The 19,213-nt window shown below is 38.0% G+C and overlaps 1 protein-coding gene and 1 long non-coding RNA gene across 11 annotated transcripts in view, besides 1 other annotated feature; one reads left to right on the top strand and one right to left on the bottom strand.

Annotated features, from left to right (window-relative positions):
• Positions 1-19,213, bottom strand: part of DPP10 (dipeptidyl peptidase like 10) — a 1,403,140-nt gene that overhangs the window by 1,008,970 nt on the left and 374,957 nt on the right. The gene's annotated exons all lie outside the window — the stretch shown is intronic.
• On the top strand, positions 3,263-8,470 carry DPP10-AS3 (DPP10 antisense RNA 3). Its single transcript, NR_132105.1, has 2 exons — positions 3,263-3,486; positions 7,939-8,470. It is a non-coding gene; the product is annotated as a DPP10 antisense RNA 3 (long non-coding RNA).
• Positions 15,195-15,728: an enhancer, noted in NCBI's record as "NANOG hESC enhancer chr2:115578660-115579193 (GRCh37/hg19 assembly coordinates)". NCBI's record gives its function as "activates a minimal SCP1, AML or CMV promoter by ChIP-STARR-seq in naive and primed H9 embryonic stem cells {active_cell/tissue: H9 hESC(naive and primed)}" and the evidence as "EXISTENCE:reporter gene assay evidence [ECO:0000049][PMID:30033119]".

Raw genomic sequence — 19,213 nt, 5'->3', positions numbered from 1 at the left:
TTGGCCCCCTTGGGTGCGGCCATCTTTTATGGAGCTGTAGGGATGAAATAAGCCCCAGTCTCCCATAGTGCTCACAGGTTTATTAGGACGAGGAAATTCCCGCCTAATACATTTTTGGTCAGACCGGTTGTCTGCTCTCAAACCCTGTCCCCTGATAAGAAGTTATCAATGACAATGGGTGCCCGAAACTTCATTAGCAATTTAAATTTCGCCCCAGTCCTGTGGTCCTGTGATCTCGCCCTGCCTCCATTTTCCTAGTGATATTCTATTACCTTGTGAACCACGTGATCTCTTGTGACCCACACGCTATTCGTACACTCCCTCCCCTTTGAAAATCACTAATAAAAACTTGCTGGTTTTGCGGCTTGTGGGGCATCACAGAACCTCCCGAAATGTGATTTCTCCCCCGGAAGCCCAGCTTTAAAATTTCTCTCTTTTGTACTCTGTCCCTTTATTTCCCAAACTGGCCAATGCTTAGGGAAAACAGAAAAGAACCTACATGAAATATCGAGGGTGAATTTTGCCCGATATCTGGCTGAATTTCCCCTGATAAATAACTAAAACAGAATACACATGGGTCACAAATGGAGCAGCACACATAAAGTGCTATGAAAGGCAGAGAAGGAAGAAATTATTTTTAGGTGGGAATTCAGGAAAATCTTTATTGAGAAAGGGGTATTTTAGGTGGCCTTGCATGGAATTGCCAGAGAGTTAAGGAGAAAGTTAGGGGTGGGGTGAAAGAGCACCAGGTAAGAGCAAAGAATCATATCCAATACTCTCCAATAACATCCACAGGTGACTTGTTTCATTTCTCTTCCTAGTTTAAATGTGGGAAGAGGATAAAGGGCAAAAGAAGATAAGGCTATTATTACTCACTCAATCTAAAATTTTGTCTCAATTATCTGATTTCATAGTGAAATAATTTCTACTTATATGCTGAATTGTACAGCTGAGCACTAATTATATATAGTCTTTTTTCCCTTTCTGAGAAGATTAGAAACACAATAATAAGGGTCATACTTTATTCTCTTAAAGTTCAATAACTTACTGGGCACATGACAGGTATTTGGATTTGTCTGACTGACAGTATTTTACAAATGGTTCTGGAGTTTACTATTATCCCATGCTCTTAGTGACCAGGAAACAAGATCTTGACCTCCACTGAGAACATGTCTCAATCCTGCCAAGACTGATTGGATTAAATGGATTTATGGAAAAAGTGATCAGCCTTCCACTAGAAAAGCCAGCTAGTACTGGCAGGAACTAAGCAAAGGAATAATAAAACAAACACGTATTTATTTTTGACTAATATTATTTGATTAAAAACGAACGTGATAGAAAATCGCTGTGGGTATATGTCTTATATATACATAGGTGTGTAGATATGTCTTATATATACATAGGTGTGTAAATATGGCTTATATATAAATAGGTGTGTAGATATGTCTTATATATACATAGGTGTGTAGATATGGCTTATATATACATAGGTGTGTAGATATGTCTTATATATACATAGGTGTGTAGATATGGCCTATATATATACATAGGTGTGTAGATATGTCCTATATACACATAGGTGTGTAGATATGTCCTATATATACATAGGTATGTAGATATGTCCTATATATACATAGGTGTGTAGATATGGCTTATATATACATAGGTGTGTAGATATGTCTTATATATACATAGGTGTGTAGATATGGCTTATATATACATAGGTGTGTAGATATGGCTTATATATACATAGGTGTGTAGATATGGCTGATATGTACATAGGTGTGTAGATATGTCTTTTATATACATAGGTGTGTAGATATGTCTTTTATATACATAGGTGTGTAGATATGGCTTATATATACATAGGTGTGTAGATATGGCTTATATATACATAGGTGTGTAGATATGGCTTATATATACATAGTTGTGTAGATATGTCTTTTATATACATAGGTGTGTAGACATGGCTTATATATACATAGGTGTGTAGACATGGCTTATATATACATAGGTGTGTAGACATGGCTTATATATACATAGGTGCGTAGACATGGCTTATATATACATAGGTGCGTAGACATGGCTTATATATACATAGGTGTGTAGATATGTCTTATATATACATAGGTGTGTAGATATGGCCTATATATATACATAGGTGTGTAGATATGGCTTATATATACATAGGTGCTTAGATATGGCTTATATATACATAGGTGCGTAGATATGGCTTATATATACATAGGTGCGTAGATATGGCTTATATATACATAGGTGCGTAGATATGTCTTATATATACATAGGTGCGTAGATATGGCTTATATATACATAGGTGTGTAGATATGGCTGATATGTACATAGGTGTGTAGATATGGCTTATATATACATAGGTGTGTAGATATGGCTTATATATACATAGGTGTGTAGATATGTCTTTTATATACATAGGTGTGTAGACATGTCTTTTATATACATAGGTGTGTAGACATGGCTTATATATACATAGGTGTGTAGACATGGCTTATATATACATAGGTGTGTAGATATGTCTTATATATACATAGGTGTGTAGATATGGCCTATATATATACATAGGTGTGTAGATATGGCTTATATATACATAGGTGTGTAGATATGGCTTATATATACATAGGTGCGTAGATATGGCTTATATATACATAGGTGCGTAGATATGGCTTATATATACATAGGTGCGTAGATATGGCTTATATATACATAGGTGTGTAGATATGGCTTATATATACATAGGTGTGTGTATATGTTTATATACGTATACATGTACATATACACCTATATATCTCTTAGCAACAGTTCTGCAAAACTCAATCATTATACTTTGGCAGATTGGTTTTAGGTCACTAGTAAGGGCAGAAGCACCACCATGTGTCATCCAAATTCTTGCCTGTGCCTTCCGTAGGACAAAAAGAGGGTTTATGATTTTGACCATATCAATTCTTGTCTTTCTGTTGCCCTGACTATAGGTATAGTTTATTGTATTCTTATCACGTGCCAGGCTTTGGGCTAAACGTGTTCTATGCAGCATCTTTATGTCATCCTGACAGTAGCACAATGACGTATGTAATAGTGGTCACATTGGCTGATGTGAAAACTGAGGCTTAGAGGCATCAGCTGGCAGTATTAAGAGGCAGACTTGGAGGTGCCTGACTCTGAAGAACACACTGCAATCAAAATTCAGTGCCCAAAATTATGATGTCACAGAATATTCCCTGTTAGCACTATACGTTCCACCTGTATGTTTGGAAGAGAAAGAACTATGCTCACTCCTTCTGAGCTGTCCCTATTTATTTATTTATTTTTGGTCTGATGGCTAAATAAAGATTTTTTGTATTCAAGAGAAATAATTTAATGAGATAAAATATTATTTCCTAAGAAAAATATATCAGCTGAAACCTGGGAAACATCTAGATAATTTAATTGAAAATGATTGACATTCTCAAACAAGTGAGTACATTTTTTTGCTTGATCAATTTAGTTTTTTTTTTTAAAGAATTAACTCATATTGGCTGTATAATCACAACTCTTACATCATAAATTATTTCTTCCACAGAATTGAAATCTAGTTTCTTTCAAGGGACTTCATATTATGCAGCCAATGTGATATTATTACAAAATATATGAAAATTATGCCAAATGAAAATGCCATAGATAAATACAGTTAAATGAGTAGAATGCCAAGATTTTAATCCACAAGTCTAAAAAAATTTCTTTTTTAGTTTCACAACTTTGAATTTGTGAATTTTAGCTATTTTAATCAGAATCAGAATATCGTATTTCTCAAAATTATAAATCACTGCTTGTCTCTGTATACACACAGATGCATGCATACATATTTAGTTACATTTTTTGAAATGGCAATTATTCTTATTCAAAGCATAAGCATTTAAAGTACTTAAATTTTTTTTTTTAGAAAATAGAAACATGTTAGGTAGACTTGACTCATGTCCCCATTTTTGGCATGAGGTCTATAGACATAGCATTGCAGAACTCCTTTATATTACTATCTGTTTATCCCTTCATCTATTCAGAAATGCATTCAAATATAACTTTGATTTCAAATATTTGTTTGGGCTATTAGATATCTCTGTAAATAGGAAAAATAATATTTGCCCATTTACTCTAAGTTACATTTGAAGGCTCTTACTATTTTATGGAATATTTTACAGCAATCCAAAATGGTCATACTAAGTTAAAGGTAATTTGTTTATTTATTCATTTATTTATTTATTTATTTTGAGACGGAGTCTCGCTCTGTCGCCAGGCTGGAGTGGAGTGGTGCGATCTCGGCTCACTGCAACCTCGAACTCTTGGATTCAAGCATTTCTCCTGCCTCAGCCTCCTGAGTAGCTGGGACTACAGGAACCCACCAACACGCCCGGCTAATTTTTTTGTAGTTTTTAGTAGAGGCGGTGTTTCACCGTGTTAGCCAGGATGGTCTCGATCTCCTGACCTCCTGATCCACCTGCCTCGGCCTCCAAAAGTGCTGGGATTACAGGCGTGAGCCACCACCCCCGGCCAGGGCCAGATCACACTTGTTTTTAATCTCAACAAGATCTAAGAAAACTATAGTCTATTTAAGAACATACTTTTATGTGATTTAATTTTAATTTTGAAATAAAAAGTTATTTCAAGATATTTTATGAAGAGCATTGAGTATTTCATAACTTAGGACTAAGGTAGTGTTGGAAGGTGAAAACACGTGGAAAATAATTAGTCAAAAACAAATTTAAGCAAAGATGTCACTCATTTAAATGTGTGCAAACATTGTTCTTAATTAAAATATTGGGAAGATAGGAATATATTAAGCACATATTTAAAAAAAGAGAGAGAAGAGAGGTTTGGACAGAGAGCATCAACCTCTTACTTTTTGCCTTGGTTATATATATACATATATATTATATATATATATATTTTTTTTAATTAAAGAGAGAGAAAGAGAAGAGCAAACCTTATATAGACACATAACCAGTCTTTTTTAGTCTTTCTTTTGATAAACCATTTGAAGTATGAATGTGGTACTGTATTTCAGTTAAATTGTACTCTGCAACTTAATCTCCAATTGCATTAAATAGAATTTTGATCTCTTCTTTTGATGAGGTTAAGATTTTGCAAACTACGTGCAGAATATCTGTTTATATGTTATGTCTTTATTGCTCGTGCTTTCTGCAAACCCAGCTTTCCCAAATGATCTTCCATGCTGAAACACCTCAGACTGAGTTTTGGCTAGGGACACTCAATGCCTGTAATTAAAACTGGGATCACTCTTCTTTGCCATAAAAGACAAACCTGCTTCCCGAAAATTGGATCACAGTTATTTGCTTTCCAAAGCCTACATTTCTGAGTTGGTCCTAAGTTATGAAACACCCAAGGCTAATTTTCAGTTTGGGGGTTCTGTTCATAAATGTGAAATACTGGACAGCTAGATAGTTGACCCATTTCCCATTCCAGAAATATATTACAAATATCCCTTATGGTGAAATATGGGACACAAATGCATGAACCTAGTATAAAGAAAACTATCTTTAAAGTTATGTTCTATTGAAAGATTTTTAGTATAAAAACTTGAGAAAGCAGAAACATTGGAATGTTATAATTACAACATTAATACATTTTATTTCCCCATATGTTTCTACTACCAAATAAAAAAGTCTTTACTGCCCCATCATCTGTTTTTTAATACAACATTTCTGATGTTCTTTGAAAATTTAGCAAAAAAAAAAAAAAAAAAAAAAAAAAAAAAAAAAAATCTTTGCATGGATGTTTAAATATTCCACTGCAGGTTGAAAAATAACTTTTTATTAAAAGCTATGCAGTGTGCCAAACACGAAACAAGGGGGCTTGAGCAATGCTTGTTTTTAACTTTTTTTTTAATGTTAACTAATGATAAATTTAAAAATGACTAATCAACTTGGTTGATGCAATGTAAAGACCTAATACTCAAATCAATTGCCTCTCCAGTTTGACAAGTTGAGTAAGTTACTATTTAATACAGTAAAAGTTATTCTGTTAGGCCTGATAAAGAAACTATGTATAAACTTTTCTATACATATGGCAGATATATAGAAAAATATTCATTAGGCTGAATAAATTGACAAAAGTGGTTTTAAAAAAAATAAGAGGTTGTTATATCTGCTTCGATTTGAAAATTTCATTCAACAGTTCTTATGAACCTACTGTGTGCTAGGCAATATGTGTGCTGGGTGTAACGGGGAGGGGAGAAGGCACATTTACGTACATGTAAGTTGTGTATAAATAGAAAGGCGAAGTTAAGAGAGTACACGTTTTTACAATAAGTGAGTAAACAGAACGTGACATTTTATGGATCTTGAAATGTGAATAGAACTTTTCTGACTAAAAGAAAGAAAGGAGGATACTCCAGGCAAGGAAAAAACTTGAATGAACAGCACAGAACAGAGGATGGGAAACATGCGTCATCTTTGACTATTTGGGAAAAGCAAAGCAGGTTGACTGAATCTCGGTGTAGATGGGATAAACGAATGGGAGATAGTGTAAGGGGGGTACTCGATGGCCCCATTTTGAGAGCTATCAATACCATATTAGGCAGTTTGGGATTATCTTCTGGGCAATAACGGGAACTTAGGTAGCCATACCAGCCTTTATAAAGAAAATTCTGATGGGACTGTGAAAATTAGATGGAAGGTGGGAGAGACCTACCTACTTAGGGTGAGGAGCCCGTGAGGGAGGCGTTTTCGGCCATCAGCCCAGGAGAGGACAGCAGTAAGGACAGTGAGAGGACAGGAGTCAGTAGGCCCAGGGCAGCAGAGCTTAGAGGAAAATGGGTGGGTTCAAGACAGGCCGCAGCGGCAGCTTGAACCCAACTTGATCGCATGGACGTGGAAGTGGAAAAGGAAGAAAAAGAGACGACACGGGTTCTGAAATGGGTGTTCTTTTAAGGAAACGCATAGTGACGCTTTCAAGATCTGTCACAGATGTTTGAAAACGTTATGTAAAATGACAACTATTTTAGGAACCTTGAAAAAATAGTAATAATGGTAGAGGAAGTAAAATGTATTTCCCTATTTAAGAAGATACATAACTTGACTTCTGTCCTTCTCTTAAAAAAAAACGTCCGGCCAGGCACGGTGGCTCACGCCTGTAATCCGAGCACTTTGGGAGGCTGAGACGGGAGGACCACCTGAGGTCAGGCATTCGAGACCAGCCTGGCCAACATGGCGAAAACCCATCTCTACCAAAAATACAAAAAAAAAAAAAATTAGCTGAGTGTAGTGGCAGGCGCCTGTGAGGCTTAGGCGGGAGAATTGCTTGAACCTGGGAGGCGGAGGTTGCAGTGAGCCGAGGTCTTGCCATTGCACTCCAGCCTGGGTGACAAGAGCGACACTCTGTCTCAAAAAAAAAAAATTAAAAAAAAAAAAGACAAAAACGTCTTATGTGTCCCTTTGTAAATAGCTATACTCATCAGTAACTAGTCTATTTATATTTATTTATTTATTTATTTTTGAGATGGAGTCTCACTCTGTCGCCCAGGCTGGAGTGCAGTGGCTCGATCTTGGCTCACTGCTACCTCTGCTGCCCCCGGTTCAAGCAGTTCTCCTTCTTCAGCCTCCCGAGTAGCTGAGATTACAGTTGCCTGCTACAGTGCCTGGCTAATTTTTGTAGTTTTTTAGTAGAGATGGGGTTTCACCATCTTGGCCAGGGTGGTCTTGAACTCCTGACCTCGTGATCCACTCTCCTCGGTCTCCCAAAATGCTGGGATTACAGGCCTGAGCCACCGCACCTGGCCTAGTAACTAGACTATTTTTATAGGAGACCTTAGACTATTATTTTCCCTTGAATTTACTTTATTTTCCCCTATTGCACAAACTTTTCTATGCCCTGGACTGTTTATTCATTTTCAATATCTCTCTCCAAAAACAGAAAAGAAAAGAAAATCAGATACACCGCTTTCTTCTCTCCCTATCTGCGGAGCCTGCCTCCTCCAACCTGCATAGCTGCATCCCAGTGCATGTGCACCTGCCTGCTTGGACACTTCAATGACTAACTTCTCTGCAAATACATCAATAGTTTCATTGCCTTCAGGCTTCTTCTATGTCTTTTAACTCTTGAACCTTCTGGTGCATTTTAGCTTACCAAACAGCACATGCTGCTTTGTACTTGTGTTGTTTTATGTATTCATTTATTGCACAAATTTTCCTTGAGTGCCTTGTTCATGGAAGGCGCTATTCCAGGAATTTTATGTGTAGTTTAAGTTACCTCCATCTAAACTATAAGATTTTCATATAATTCATCTTTGTAGTTCTACCACAAGCATATTAGTAGATTCTAAATAAACGTTAACTCCATATTTGTGTGCATGTAGAAATATGTCATGTTTATGTATATATTAATGCATCTATGTTTCTATATCTAACAATGATAAAAAAGTGCTAATAAAATGATGATTAACGTTATGTTGAATTATATAATTGTATATAAAAGTTATGTTATGTTCTTCTTACATTAAAGTTTTTCATATACTTTGCCTTTTGAGAACATCTACCCATTATCAGACGAGACGGGGAGTGTTCAGGGTGGTATGGCCGTAGACCATCTACCCATTATCAGAGGATGAAACTTGCATTGTTCTCCATGTTTTATTTCCTTTGTCTCTGAAAGACCTGTTCACAGAATATGCCACTCTTTTCAAAAATAGTACATATACAGTGCAATGTCAAAGTAAATGGAAGAAGAAATTTACATTTTGACTCTGACAACAACAAAATGAATAAATAAATAAATGCTGTTTTTTTCTACAAAGCAAGAAAAACAAAGCCACTGTAAGTGTACTCTGAATAAAAATCTGCTTTCTGTTATTGTAAAAAAAGAAAATGGTGAAACTTGAGGTAAAATATTTTGCTCATATCTGAAAACACTATTGCTGGAGGGGGAAGAGACGTGAGTGTGTTGACCTTTGCAAGGCAGAAAGGCTCACAAGGAAGTAAAAATGTTGAGCCTTTGAATCCTCACAAAATTCTCAGTTGTACTTGATCTACCTCCCCCAGCTTCCTCCACTGCACAGGCTAAATAGGTAGGCATCTTTTTACAAGAAAAACATTTTTATATGCTAAGAGACTAATGGATTAAACACTTGTACATGCACACACACATGCATGCACACACAAACACACACACACACAAAGCAAGTAACAATTAATAAATCAAAAAAGTGGCTCAAAGAGAATACTAGGAGTCCAGGTATATACCGTAAACATATATGCCATATTTACTAGATATAGACAATTATTAAGTAGTTGGTGGCTTATGGCCATAATTAGATACTAAGCTGCAGTTGTGGTCTTGTCCCCATGAGTCATGGTCAACAAGTCAGTACCCCAGTTTTTTTCAATGGATCTATAGACAAACCAGTATCTACAGTTGTCTTTCTCCTACATAGAGCTTCAATAATTGGAACATTGACTGAATCATTTGCCATAAAACATCTCCTATTACCTGCCCAGCATTGATTATGGTTAGGATGGTCTGAATCTACAAGAATAATTATTACACACCTCTCCAGATTACCACATACGGATTACTTTTGATTTGAGGACCATGGCTTAGTTATAAAGTCTCTATATTCAGAGTCAAAACAGTATCTGCAAACTCCCATAAGAGAACTTAACATCCTTTTCTCCCCCAAGCAGGTCACAGGAATGAGAAATCGCCCCCTCCTGACCCCCAAACAAGCCATAAAACCTAGAAAAATCACTCTCTGACGTTCACCACCTCCCAGATCCTCATGTGACAGATGTGCTTCCTGATACCCAGGGGCAATGAATGGCTTACAGAAACACAGAGAAGAATCTGGCCTTGCGAAGTTGTCTCCAGTTCATTACCATTAGATCATACTCCTGTTATCCAATCATGTTTCTCTACAACTATCCATTTCTTTCATCAGACTTAGCAATAAAAATAGTCTTCTTGGCCCAGCACGGTGGCTCACGCCTGTAATCCCAGCACTTTGGGAGGCCGAGGCAGGCAGATCACAAGGCCAAGAGGATGGGACCAGCCTGGCCAATATGGTGAACCCCATCTCTACTAAAAATACAAAAATTAGCCAGGCATGGGGTTATGCTCCTGTAATCCCAGCTAGCTGGGAGGCTGAGGCAGAAGAATCACTTGAACCTGGGAGGCGGAGGTTGCAGGGAGCTGAGGTCATGACATTGCACGCTAGCCTGGGTGACAGAGGAGACTCCATCTCAAAAAAAATAAAAAATTTTCTCTGGCCCTTTGCAACTTTAATTCCAAAAGCTCCCATGCCACATGAAATTTTGATAAATAAACTTTTTATGCTTTTAATTTGCCAGTCTATCTTTTGGATTAGAGGTGTCAGGCATGACCTTTTCCATAGGTCCCTGGGTGAGGAAAAGGTATTACTATTTCTCCTCCACCATACTTTTACATATTTTGAGACAGAAATAATTCTAACATTTCACAAGCCGATTAAAAGCTCTGAAACATCATGTTTCAGTGAAGTCAGTAAATAAATTGTTCCCATTATATATAATTATGAAAACAACATTATTTTATTATTTAGGTTCTCCTAATTCATTTTTATTCTCTTCTTAGCTACCCAGGGCATACATTTTACTCTATACATTACATATGCTGCAAAATGCTACAAACCAGGTATTTTTCCATTGGAAAGGTTGTTTTTCTATTTTTCAAGACAACATTTTGATCTGCCCATTTCCAGATGCTTTGCTATCTGCCTTTGAGTTTGTCAGAATTATTGCAGCAATTGGAATGTGGTTTATACCCCACTCTTTTTGGCAAAAAGAGTAACTTCTAATTTGAAGCTGAAAACAGCTTTGTAGAAAATAGAAACACCATGATAATTTCTTCGTTACACCATTAATCATCTCTCTCCCTCACCAGTAGAAGCTGATCACAACCTTACAGTTTTTACTTTATTATGCCCTCTGTTATTTAGGCTATACAGTGTAGCATGCAAACTGTTCATACTAGCCACTCTATACTTCAAGGTCACTGAGTTGAATATCTATTCCATCAGACTCGTCACGCATTAAATAATATTAAATTGCATATGTCTCTTTATCTCAAATTCTGGGTCTGTGTTTGGAGTTGGGGGGGAACATAAAATTCATAGAATGCTTCAATGAATCATTATTTTATGCACATATAATTGAGCATCCTTTCGGTTTATGCCTAAGCTGATAAGAAAGTAATTCTTCGGGAGAGAAGCAAGAGAGATAGCTTCTTTATGTTTAGAAAATATTCTATAACCCAAGAAAATCCTGGGACAACTGTATGCATGATTGAAATTATACCTGGTCAGGTGGACACCCTGGGTCCCAGTTGCCCAGTGACTCAGCCAGCCAGCACATGAAGGTAAAAGAAATAGAACTCAACAGGCATACAATTCCTCTCAAAGGCAAAGCAGACTAAATATGCCTCTTTCAACTTTTATATTATCACTTTCTAGATTCCAATGCTTTCCTCTTTCATGACATTTTCCTCCTGTGAGGAAGTCCCAGATATTAAATGTTAAACTAATTATCTTGGATAAAACATTTTGAAGGGAGAAATATATAGTCACTCTCGGAGCCTACAGGGAAGATCCCTGATTGATTTTACACTGACAGATGAGGTTACCAAAGCTCTCAGCAAAAAGTGCACTTCTCTGAAGTTCTTGATAACTGCATTCCTTTTCATTTGTCTACAGCTGATATTATGATAGCTTTATACCTTCCACAGCATTGAGTTAACTGCACGGAGAAGATTCTCAATGAGCACTTGTTGAGTGAATCAAACCAAAGCCTACTCTCCTGTTTGCTAGAGGATGCCACTCCAGGGTTACCAGGGTTTCATCTTATTATTGGAGCATGTGTCTCCTTTACCTACAACAGTATCTCTGTTAGAGAGGATCTAGAGCTTATAAGGCTATTTTTCCTAGTCTTCTGAAACTTTATTACATAAGCTTTTTAGATATTCCTTTAGAATTTTGGTTTGTAATTGTTAAAAGACAAAGTTTCTAACACAATAATTCACTTTTTAATCAATTAACGCTATTTTTAGATTCTTCCTAGCAATAACAAAATTTCCTAATATTCTTTCCTGTCTCCAATATTCTAAGTACATTTATTTCTAATAATTAAATCTTAAAATAAAAAAAAAAACTAACATGGAACTCTGATGTACCAAATATCTGAAATGAACAAAACTTGCTGAATCCATTGATTTTGAAAGCTATCCGACAATGGCACAGAACCACCTTTTGTCTAAATGTCACTCAGGGGAGTCATGTATTTATTTCTTTGCCTTTTATAGAACTGAATCAAGGTGGTTGCCAAAAACGAACCCTCATTACCATTGTCATTTTGAAATCTCATCTTCTAGTCTAATGGACTATCAATATCATGAGTTTTTCTCTCAATATTTCAAAGGCACACAGCCCAGTGTTATCTAGGAATTCATCATCAGTCACATACTATTATCTCAGTAATTTGAAGAGGAGTGTAGAATTAGCATCTCTACACCAAAATGAGAAATGACGATATTTCTTTCATTTCACAGTATTAACACTAAGGTCATAAGCACAGACTGATTTGAGCTCATCCTATTATCCTTGGTACCATTTATTCCCCTCTTCATTCCACACATAAGACTACTCTGGTTAAAACTCCAGAGAATTTTGGTAAGTAGAAGCTGAGGAAAAAATCAATTAAAAATTGCTGGTACTCTGTTTTGAAAGAAATGGAGATGTGACTTTATCTTCAAGCCACATTATTCTTTAGTTTTGGAAAGCCCTTCTGTTGATGATTCTACATGCCTTCCTCCCAGTCCCTTTCCATCCATCCTTGCCCTGCTCTGAGTGAAACCCTTAGAGACTGAGTTTTTGTGATGGCTGACATCTGGCTGGATTCAGCTAATGGGGGACACTGGTAAGAGAACAGAGAACAACAGAGAGAATGGGTTATTTTATTTCCCTCCTTTCTAGCCATAGCATACCATTTTTGGAAGTAGCTCCTACTGGGTAGTCCTACATCCACTGTTCAAATTTCCATATGGCCCTGGTAACACTGTTTCCTTCCACTGTTCCTTATGCTCTGAGCAGAAGTGTTACATACCAGTTCACCAGAATCACTCATCTCTGGGTGCTTCACCATCTCTTTTGTGTTCCCATAACCCTGAGTCAATATACTCCGCAGCTCTAATCTCCTTTGGGGTGGGGAATTTTGGTCTTTTTCATCATTCTACCAGCTACAGAAGGTTACAGGGCATCATAAGTACTAATAAATGCTTGAAAGCTCAATGTGGAATAAGATAAAATTTTAAGATGGGATATGTTTTGGCTGTGCCTCCACCCAGATCTCATCTTGAATTACATTTCCCATAATTCCCATGTTTTGCTTGAGGGACTTCGTGGGGGGTGATTAGATTATGGGGGTGGTTCTCCCATGCTGTTCTCATGACAGAGTTTTCATGAGATCTGATGGTTTTACAAAGGGCTTCCCGTTTTGTTTGGCACTCATTCTCTTTTCTGCCTCCCTGCAAAGAGTTCCCTTCCCCCAGGATTGTAACTTTCCTGAGGCCTCCCCAGCCATGCTGAACTGTGAGTCAGTTAAACATCTTTCCTTTATAAATTACCCAGTCTTGGGTATGTCTTTATTAGCAATGTGAGAAGTAATACAGTAAATTGGTACCGGTAGAGTAGGGTGCTGCTGTAAAGATACCTGAAAACATGGAAACAGCTTTGGAACTGGATAACAGGCAGAGGGTGGAACAGTTTGGAGGACTCAGAAGAAGATAGGAAAATGTGAGAAAATTTGAAACTTCCTAGAGTCTTGTTGAGTGGCTTTGGCCAAAATGCTGACAGAGATATGAACAGTAAAGTCCAGGCTGAGGTGGTCTCAGATGGAGATGAGGAACTTGTTGAGAACTAGAGTAAATGTCATTCTTGCTCTGCAAAGAGACTGGTGGCATTTTGCCCGTGTCCTAGAGATTTGTGGAAGTTTGAACTTGAGAGAGATGATTTAGAGTATCTGGCAGAAGAAATTTCTAAGCAGCAAAGTATTCAAGAGGAAGCAGAGCATAACATGGCGCATGTATACATATGTAACGAACTTGCACATTGTGCAAATGTACCCTAGAACTTAAAGCATTAAAAAAAAAAAAGTTTGGAAAATTTGCAGCCTGGCAATGCAATACAAAAGCAAAACCAATTTTCTGGGGAGAAATTCAACCCTGCTACAGTAATTTGCATAAGAAACAAGGAGCCACATGCTAATCACCAAGACAACGGGGAAAATGTCTTCAGGGCATGTCAGAGACCTTTGTGGCAGCCCCTCCCATTACAGGCTGAGAGGCTAAGAGGAAAAAATGGTCTCATGGGCCAGGCCCTGGGCCCCCTGCTGTGTGCAGCCTAGGGACTTGGTGTCCTGTGTCTCGGTCGCTCCATTTGTGGCTAAAAGGGGCCAAGGTACAGATTGGGTCATGGCTTCAGAGTGCAAGCCTCAAGGTTTGGCACCTTCCAAGTGCTGTTGAGCCTGTGGGTGCACCAAAGTCATGAACTGAGGTTTGGGAACCTCCGCCTAGATTTCAGAGGATGTAAAAAAACATCTGGATGTTCAGGGGCAAAGTCTGCTGCAGGGGCAAAGCCGTCATGGAGAACCTCTGCTAGGGCAGTGTGGAAGGAAAATGGGTGGTGGGAGCCCTCACACAGAGTCCCCACTGGGCACTGCCTGGTGGACCTAGTAGAGCTGTGAGAAGAGGGCCACCATCCTCCTGACCCCAGAATTGTAGATTCACTAACAGCTTGCACCATGTACCTGGAAAATTCACAGACACTCAACTCCAGCCCATGAAAGCAGCCAAGAGGGGAGCTGTACTCTGCAAAACCACAGGGGTGGAGCTGCCTAAGGCTGTGGGAGCCAACTTCTTACACCAGCATGACTCAGAAGAAGTGAGACATGGAGTCAAAAGACATCATCTTTGGAACTTTAAGATTTAATTACTACCCTATTGGATTTTGGACTTGCATGGAGCTTGTAGCCCCTTTGTTTTGGCCAATTTCTCCCATTTGGAAAGGATGTATTTAACCAATGCCTGTACCCCATTGTATCTAGGAAGTAACTAACTTCCTTTTTGTTTTAGACTCATAGGTGGAAGGGACTTGCTTTGCCTCAGATGAGACTTTGGACTCGAACTTTTGAGTTAATGCTGGAATGACTTAAGACTTTGTGGGACTGTTGGGAAAGTGGGGTTGTGTTTTTGTGGTAGGAGTTATTAAGAAATTATTTTAGGCAGATAGAAAAAGTTTTCGTTTCTTTTAAAGCAGCTGCAAAAATGCTTCTTGTCTAGAAGGAAAACCCCCACTTTTAGAGCCTGGCAGGCAATCTTTGATGTGCAAATGCCAGCCATTAGAAACTGAGTCCATCAAACATGGCAATTCTCACCACCATTGTCCTCTTATCCTTGCCCTCACATATGCCTAGCAGCATAGCCACCCCCACATATCCCCAGTGTGTAGAACATCATGGTGCCCTGCATTTGCATATCAACAGGCTAGGGTGGGAGGGCCAGCTTTTTCACGGGCTATGTGAACGACATACCTGGTGAAACCAATCCCGTGAGCCCTATGCAAATCAGACACCACCTCCTCCAGCCTACTCATAAAACTGGCTGGTATCCTTGGCACTTGAAGTTCCCTCTTTTGGCTTTGGAGGCCCCCTCCCTCTGTCTGTGTACCAGGGATCTGCTTCTTTCTTTCTCCCCACTTCCTTCTTGCATATTAAACTCTCCACTTCTCAAAACCATTCCATGTGTATCCATGTTGTTTTATCTAATTTGACTGAAGATGAAGAACCGGGTGTTCCTCCACTCATCGGAGACATATCATTTTGAAATGTGAGGACATGAGATTTGGGAGGGTCCAGGGGAAGAATGATATGGTTTGGCTGTGCACCCACCCAAATCTCATCGCCAGTTGTAGTTCCCATAATCCCCATGTTTTGTCGAAGGGAACTCATGGGAGGTGATTAGATTACGGGGGCAGTTCCCCCATGCTGTTCTTGTGATAGTGAGTGAGTTCTCACAAGGTCTGATGGTTTTATATAGAGGGCTTCCCCTTCCCCTCAGCACTCGTTCCATCTCCTGATGCCCTGTGAAGTGGTGCCTTCCAACAGGATTTTTAATTTCCTGAGGCCTCCCCAGCCATGCTGCACTGTGAGTCAATTAAACTTCTTTCCTTTATAAATTACCCTGTCTCAGGTATGTCTTCATTAGCAGTGTGAGAACAGTCTAATGCAGGATGTTTACAGGTATTTACTGCTTAATAGATACACTTACTACTTTCAAAAATCAAAGACCTGTTGAGTAGGAAGTGTATAGAATTTGGTATCACATAGTACAGGGGTAATAATTGCCTCTCCCTCTTACCTTTGTGCAAGTGTATAGATGTTGATATCATATAGTACTGGGATTATTATTGCCTCTGCCTCTTACCCATGAGGCATGCATTGGGTCCCAATTTCTTCATCTGTAAAATGGTGATAATAATATTATCTCATGAGATGTTGTTGAGGTTACATCAGAGAAGGTCTGTAAGTCATCTTGCACTCTCTCTGGCACATTGTAACTAATTCCCTCTATTCTTGCTTCGGGATAAATGTGTTTTTGAAATTTGGCTAGCCTTCCTCTTTTCCACAGGATAATAGAGCTGTTAAAAAGAACAGGCTCAGAACAGCCACTCAATCAAAATTACCAAATGTTGAAAAGGTCAAAGCACTATAGCATACCTGTATAATTCATAGATTATTGAATACATTAACATTCCAATTCCTCATTCTTAAAGAAAAGATTATAATAAAGACCCAAAATGGCCGTACATTAATCCTCTCCTATGACAATAATTGTTCCTTTTCTGGGAAATGTACAAATGTAACCTCTGCTGACACTGAACTCCAATTTGGATGCCACACTGTGCTTCCGGTTTTGATAACGAATAGATACCCAGGAGGAGAGCAATGGGGAATTGGTTAGATGCTCACAAAAGAAAAAGGCTTTCAAATATGCTGTGGGTTAATTTGAACCAATCTGCAAGGTCTAGGAAATTATGCAATTGATATCCCTGCTTAAGAATATTTTGAGCTTTTGCAAGGTTTGCCTGGGGTTTTTTACGCAGGCTTTAAACAAGCAATCAAACATCTGCTTTCAAAATTAAAGAGCCAAAAACTAACTGATGCATGATTACAATGTCAAATATTTCTTTGTAACTGTTGGACCATTTTCAACTCAATCAATTTTATTTTTATTTTTCATGATATTTCCGGGGATAACATAGACTCATAATTACAGCATGTAGCACTTTAGAGGGCTTTAGGGACAACTTAGCCCATCCCCCTCATTTTAGAGATGAGAAAACTGAGGATCACAGAGGGTAAGTGGCTTGTTTGGGGTCTCAAAGCTAGTTGGTAGCTAGGTCAGAATAGCACTGAAATCAACTTGAATTTTAACGAGACATCTATTGAAATTATTTTATGAAACTTCCTTTTTCCTTGAAACGTCTATCTAAAAAAAAAAAAAAGCTTAGTAAGTTCCAATAAATAAATCACAAAACAAGTTGCTTAGCTCACTGCAAGAGAACTAGGAAAATCATAAATGATAAATACTTTGGTATTAAAAGTTGTGTTCTTGTAATCGCCTAACGAAATGCCCAGCACTTCATTTCCTTCCTTCCTGCAGCCACTTAGTGGACCAAAACTATGCAACAGAGTTAGGTAACGTATCACTAAGTCAATTAATGAAAACAAGTAGTAATTTTGGAGACTCAAACTCATCATTTGATAATAAGAGTTCAACATATAGTTGCTTGAAGAAATTTGGCACAAAATAATTAAAACCCCTCACATTCATTTATTAGGGAATGGCATTGGCGTAATGATGGGGCATGGGGATAAAGAATGGTGCGTGTGGTAGAAAAGGTTCATGGATAAAATGTGGCATACATCCTCTAGACAAGCATACAATCTGTAAAGGAGATGGAGCAGCATCTAGACCATATTCATTCCAGCAGATGTCATCTACTGAACAGCGACACCGACTGAAATTATTTTATAGAGGTTCCTTTTTCCTTGAAACTTCTCTTTAAAAAAACAGACCTAAATAAGATCTATAATAAATCACAAAACAAGTTGCTTAGATCACTGCAAGACAACTAGGAAAATCATAAATGATAAATACTTTGGTATTAAAAGTTGTCTTCTTGTAATCGCCTAAGGAAATCCCCAGCACTTCATTTCCTTCTTTCGTGCAGCCACTTGGTGGACCAAAAACTATGCAACAAAGTGAGGTAATGCATCACTAACTCAATTAATAAAAGCAAGTAGTAATTTGGGAGACTGGAATTCATCATTTGATAATAAGAGTTCAACATATAGTTACTTGAAGAAATGACCCTCTGTTAGAGAGCATAGTCCTAAGATACCAGTTTCAAAGTTCTGTAATAGAGCCTGTAACAGGTCCTGTTTTTATAATTTTTTCTTTTGGCAGGCTAAAGAGAGATTTCATTTTTATTGATAATGGTCAAAAAAAAGGAAATTATTGCTTATAAGTGACTGACCTTCATTACCAGGAATATGTTAAATTTCTCTCTCTCTCTCTCTTTTTGGGCAGTAATGAAGATTCAATGTTATCTTGGTGATGAATTTTACTCTATGGTTTCTTCTTCCCAGGCAAAAGATTATCCTTAGTTCGGAATGTTTCTTCCCCAGGCAACAGGCTAGAAAGGTATTTTCTAATCCTTCAAGACTCTGGTTGACTTCACATGAATTGGCTTGAGTTAGATAAACTCTGCCAATAATCCTAGAACTCTTCTAGCCTACATCCTTAAGTATTAAAAAATACACATTTCTAAAAGCTTTTTTAATCCCTTATTTTCTGCTGCATTCACATATTGCAAAGTAAATAAAATCAATGGAGTAAATACAGACTTCCAAAATGCAATCTCTCTTATCACCTGGCTTACCTACTCTTACTACTGTGCCTGTTATGTTTCTTTTGTTCTCAGTTCTTAATGTCACATGCATTTCTCCACCTTACTTGGTGCTCTGAAAGCCCGACTCCCATGAATTGCATACACCAGCTCTCTTACCCTCTGACTTCCTGTTATGTCAGGCAGGGTGGAAGTATA

This window comes from Homo sapiens, chromosome 2 (genome assembly GCF_000001405.40).
Source record: "Homo sapiens chromosome 2, GRCh38.p14 Primary Assembly".
In the NCBI taxonomy this organism is placed as follows: Eukaryota; Metazoa; Chordata; class Mammalia; order Primates; family Hominidae; genus Homo; species Homo sapiens.
The sequence above is the reverse complement of the archived record's forward strand: the minus strand, read 5'-3'. Positions and strand labels throughout refer to the sequence as shown.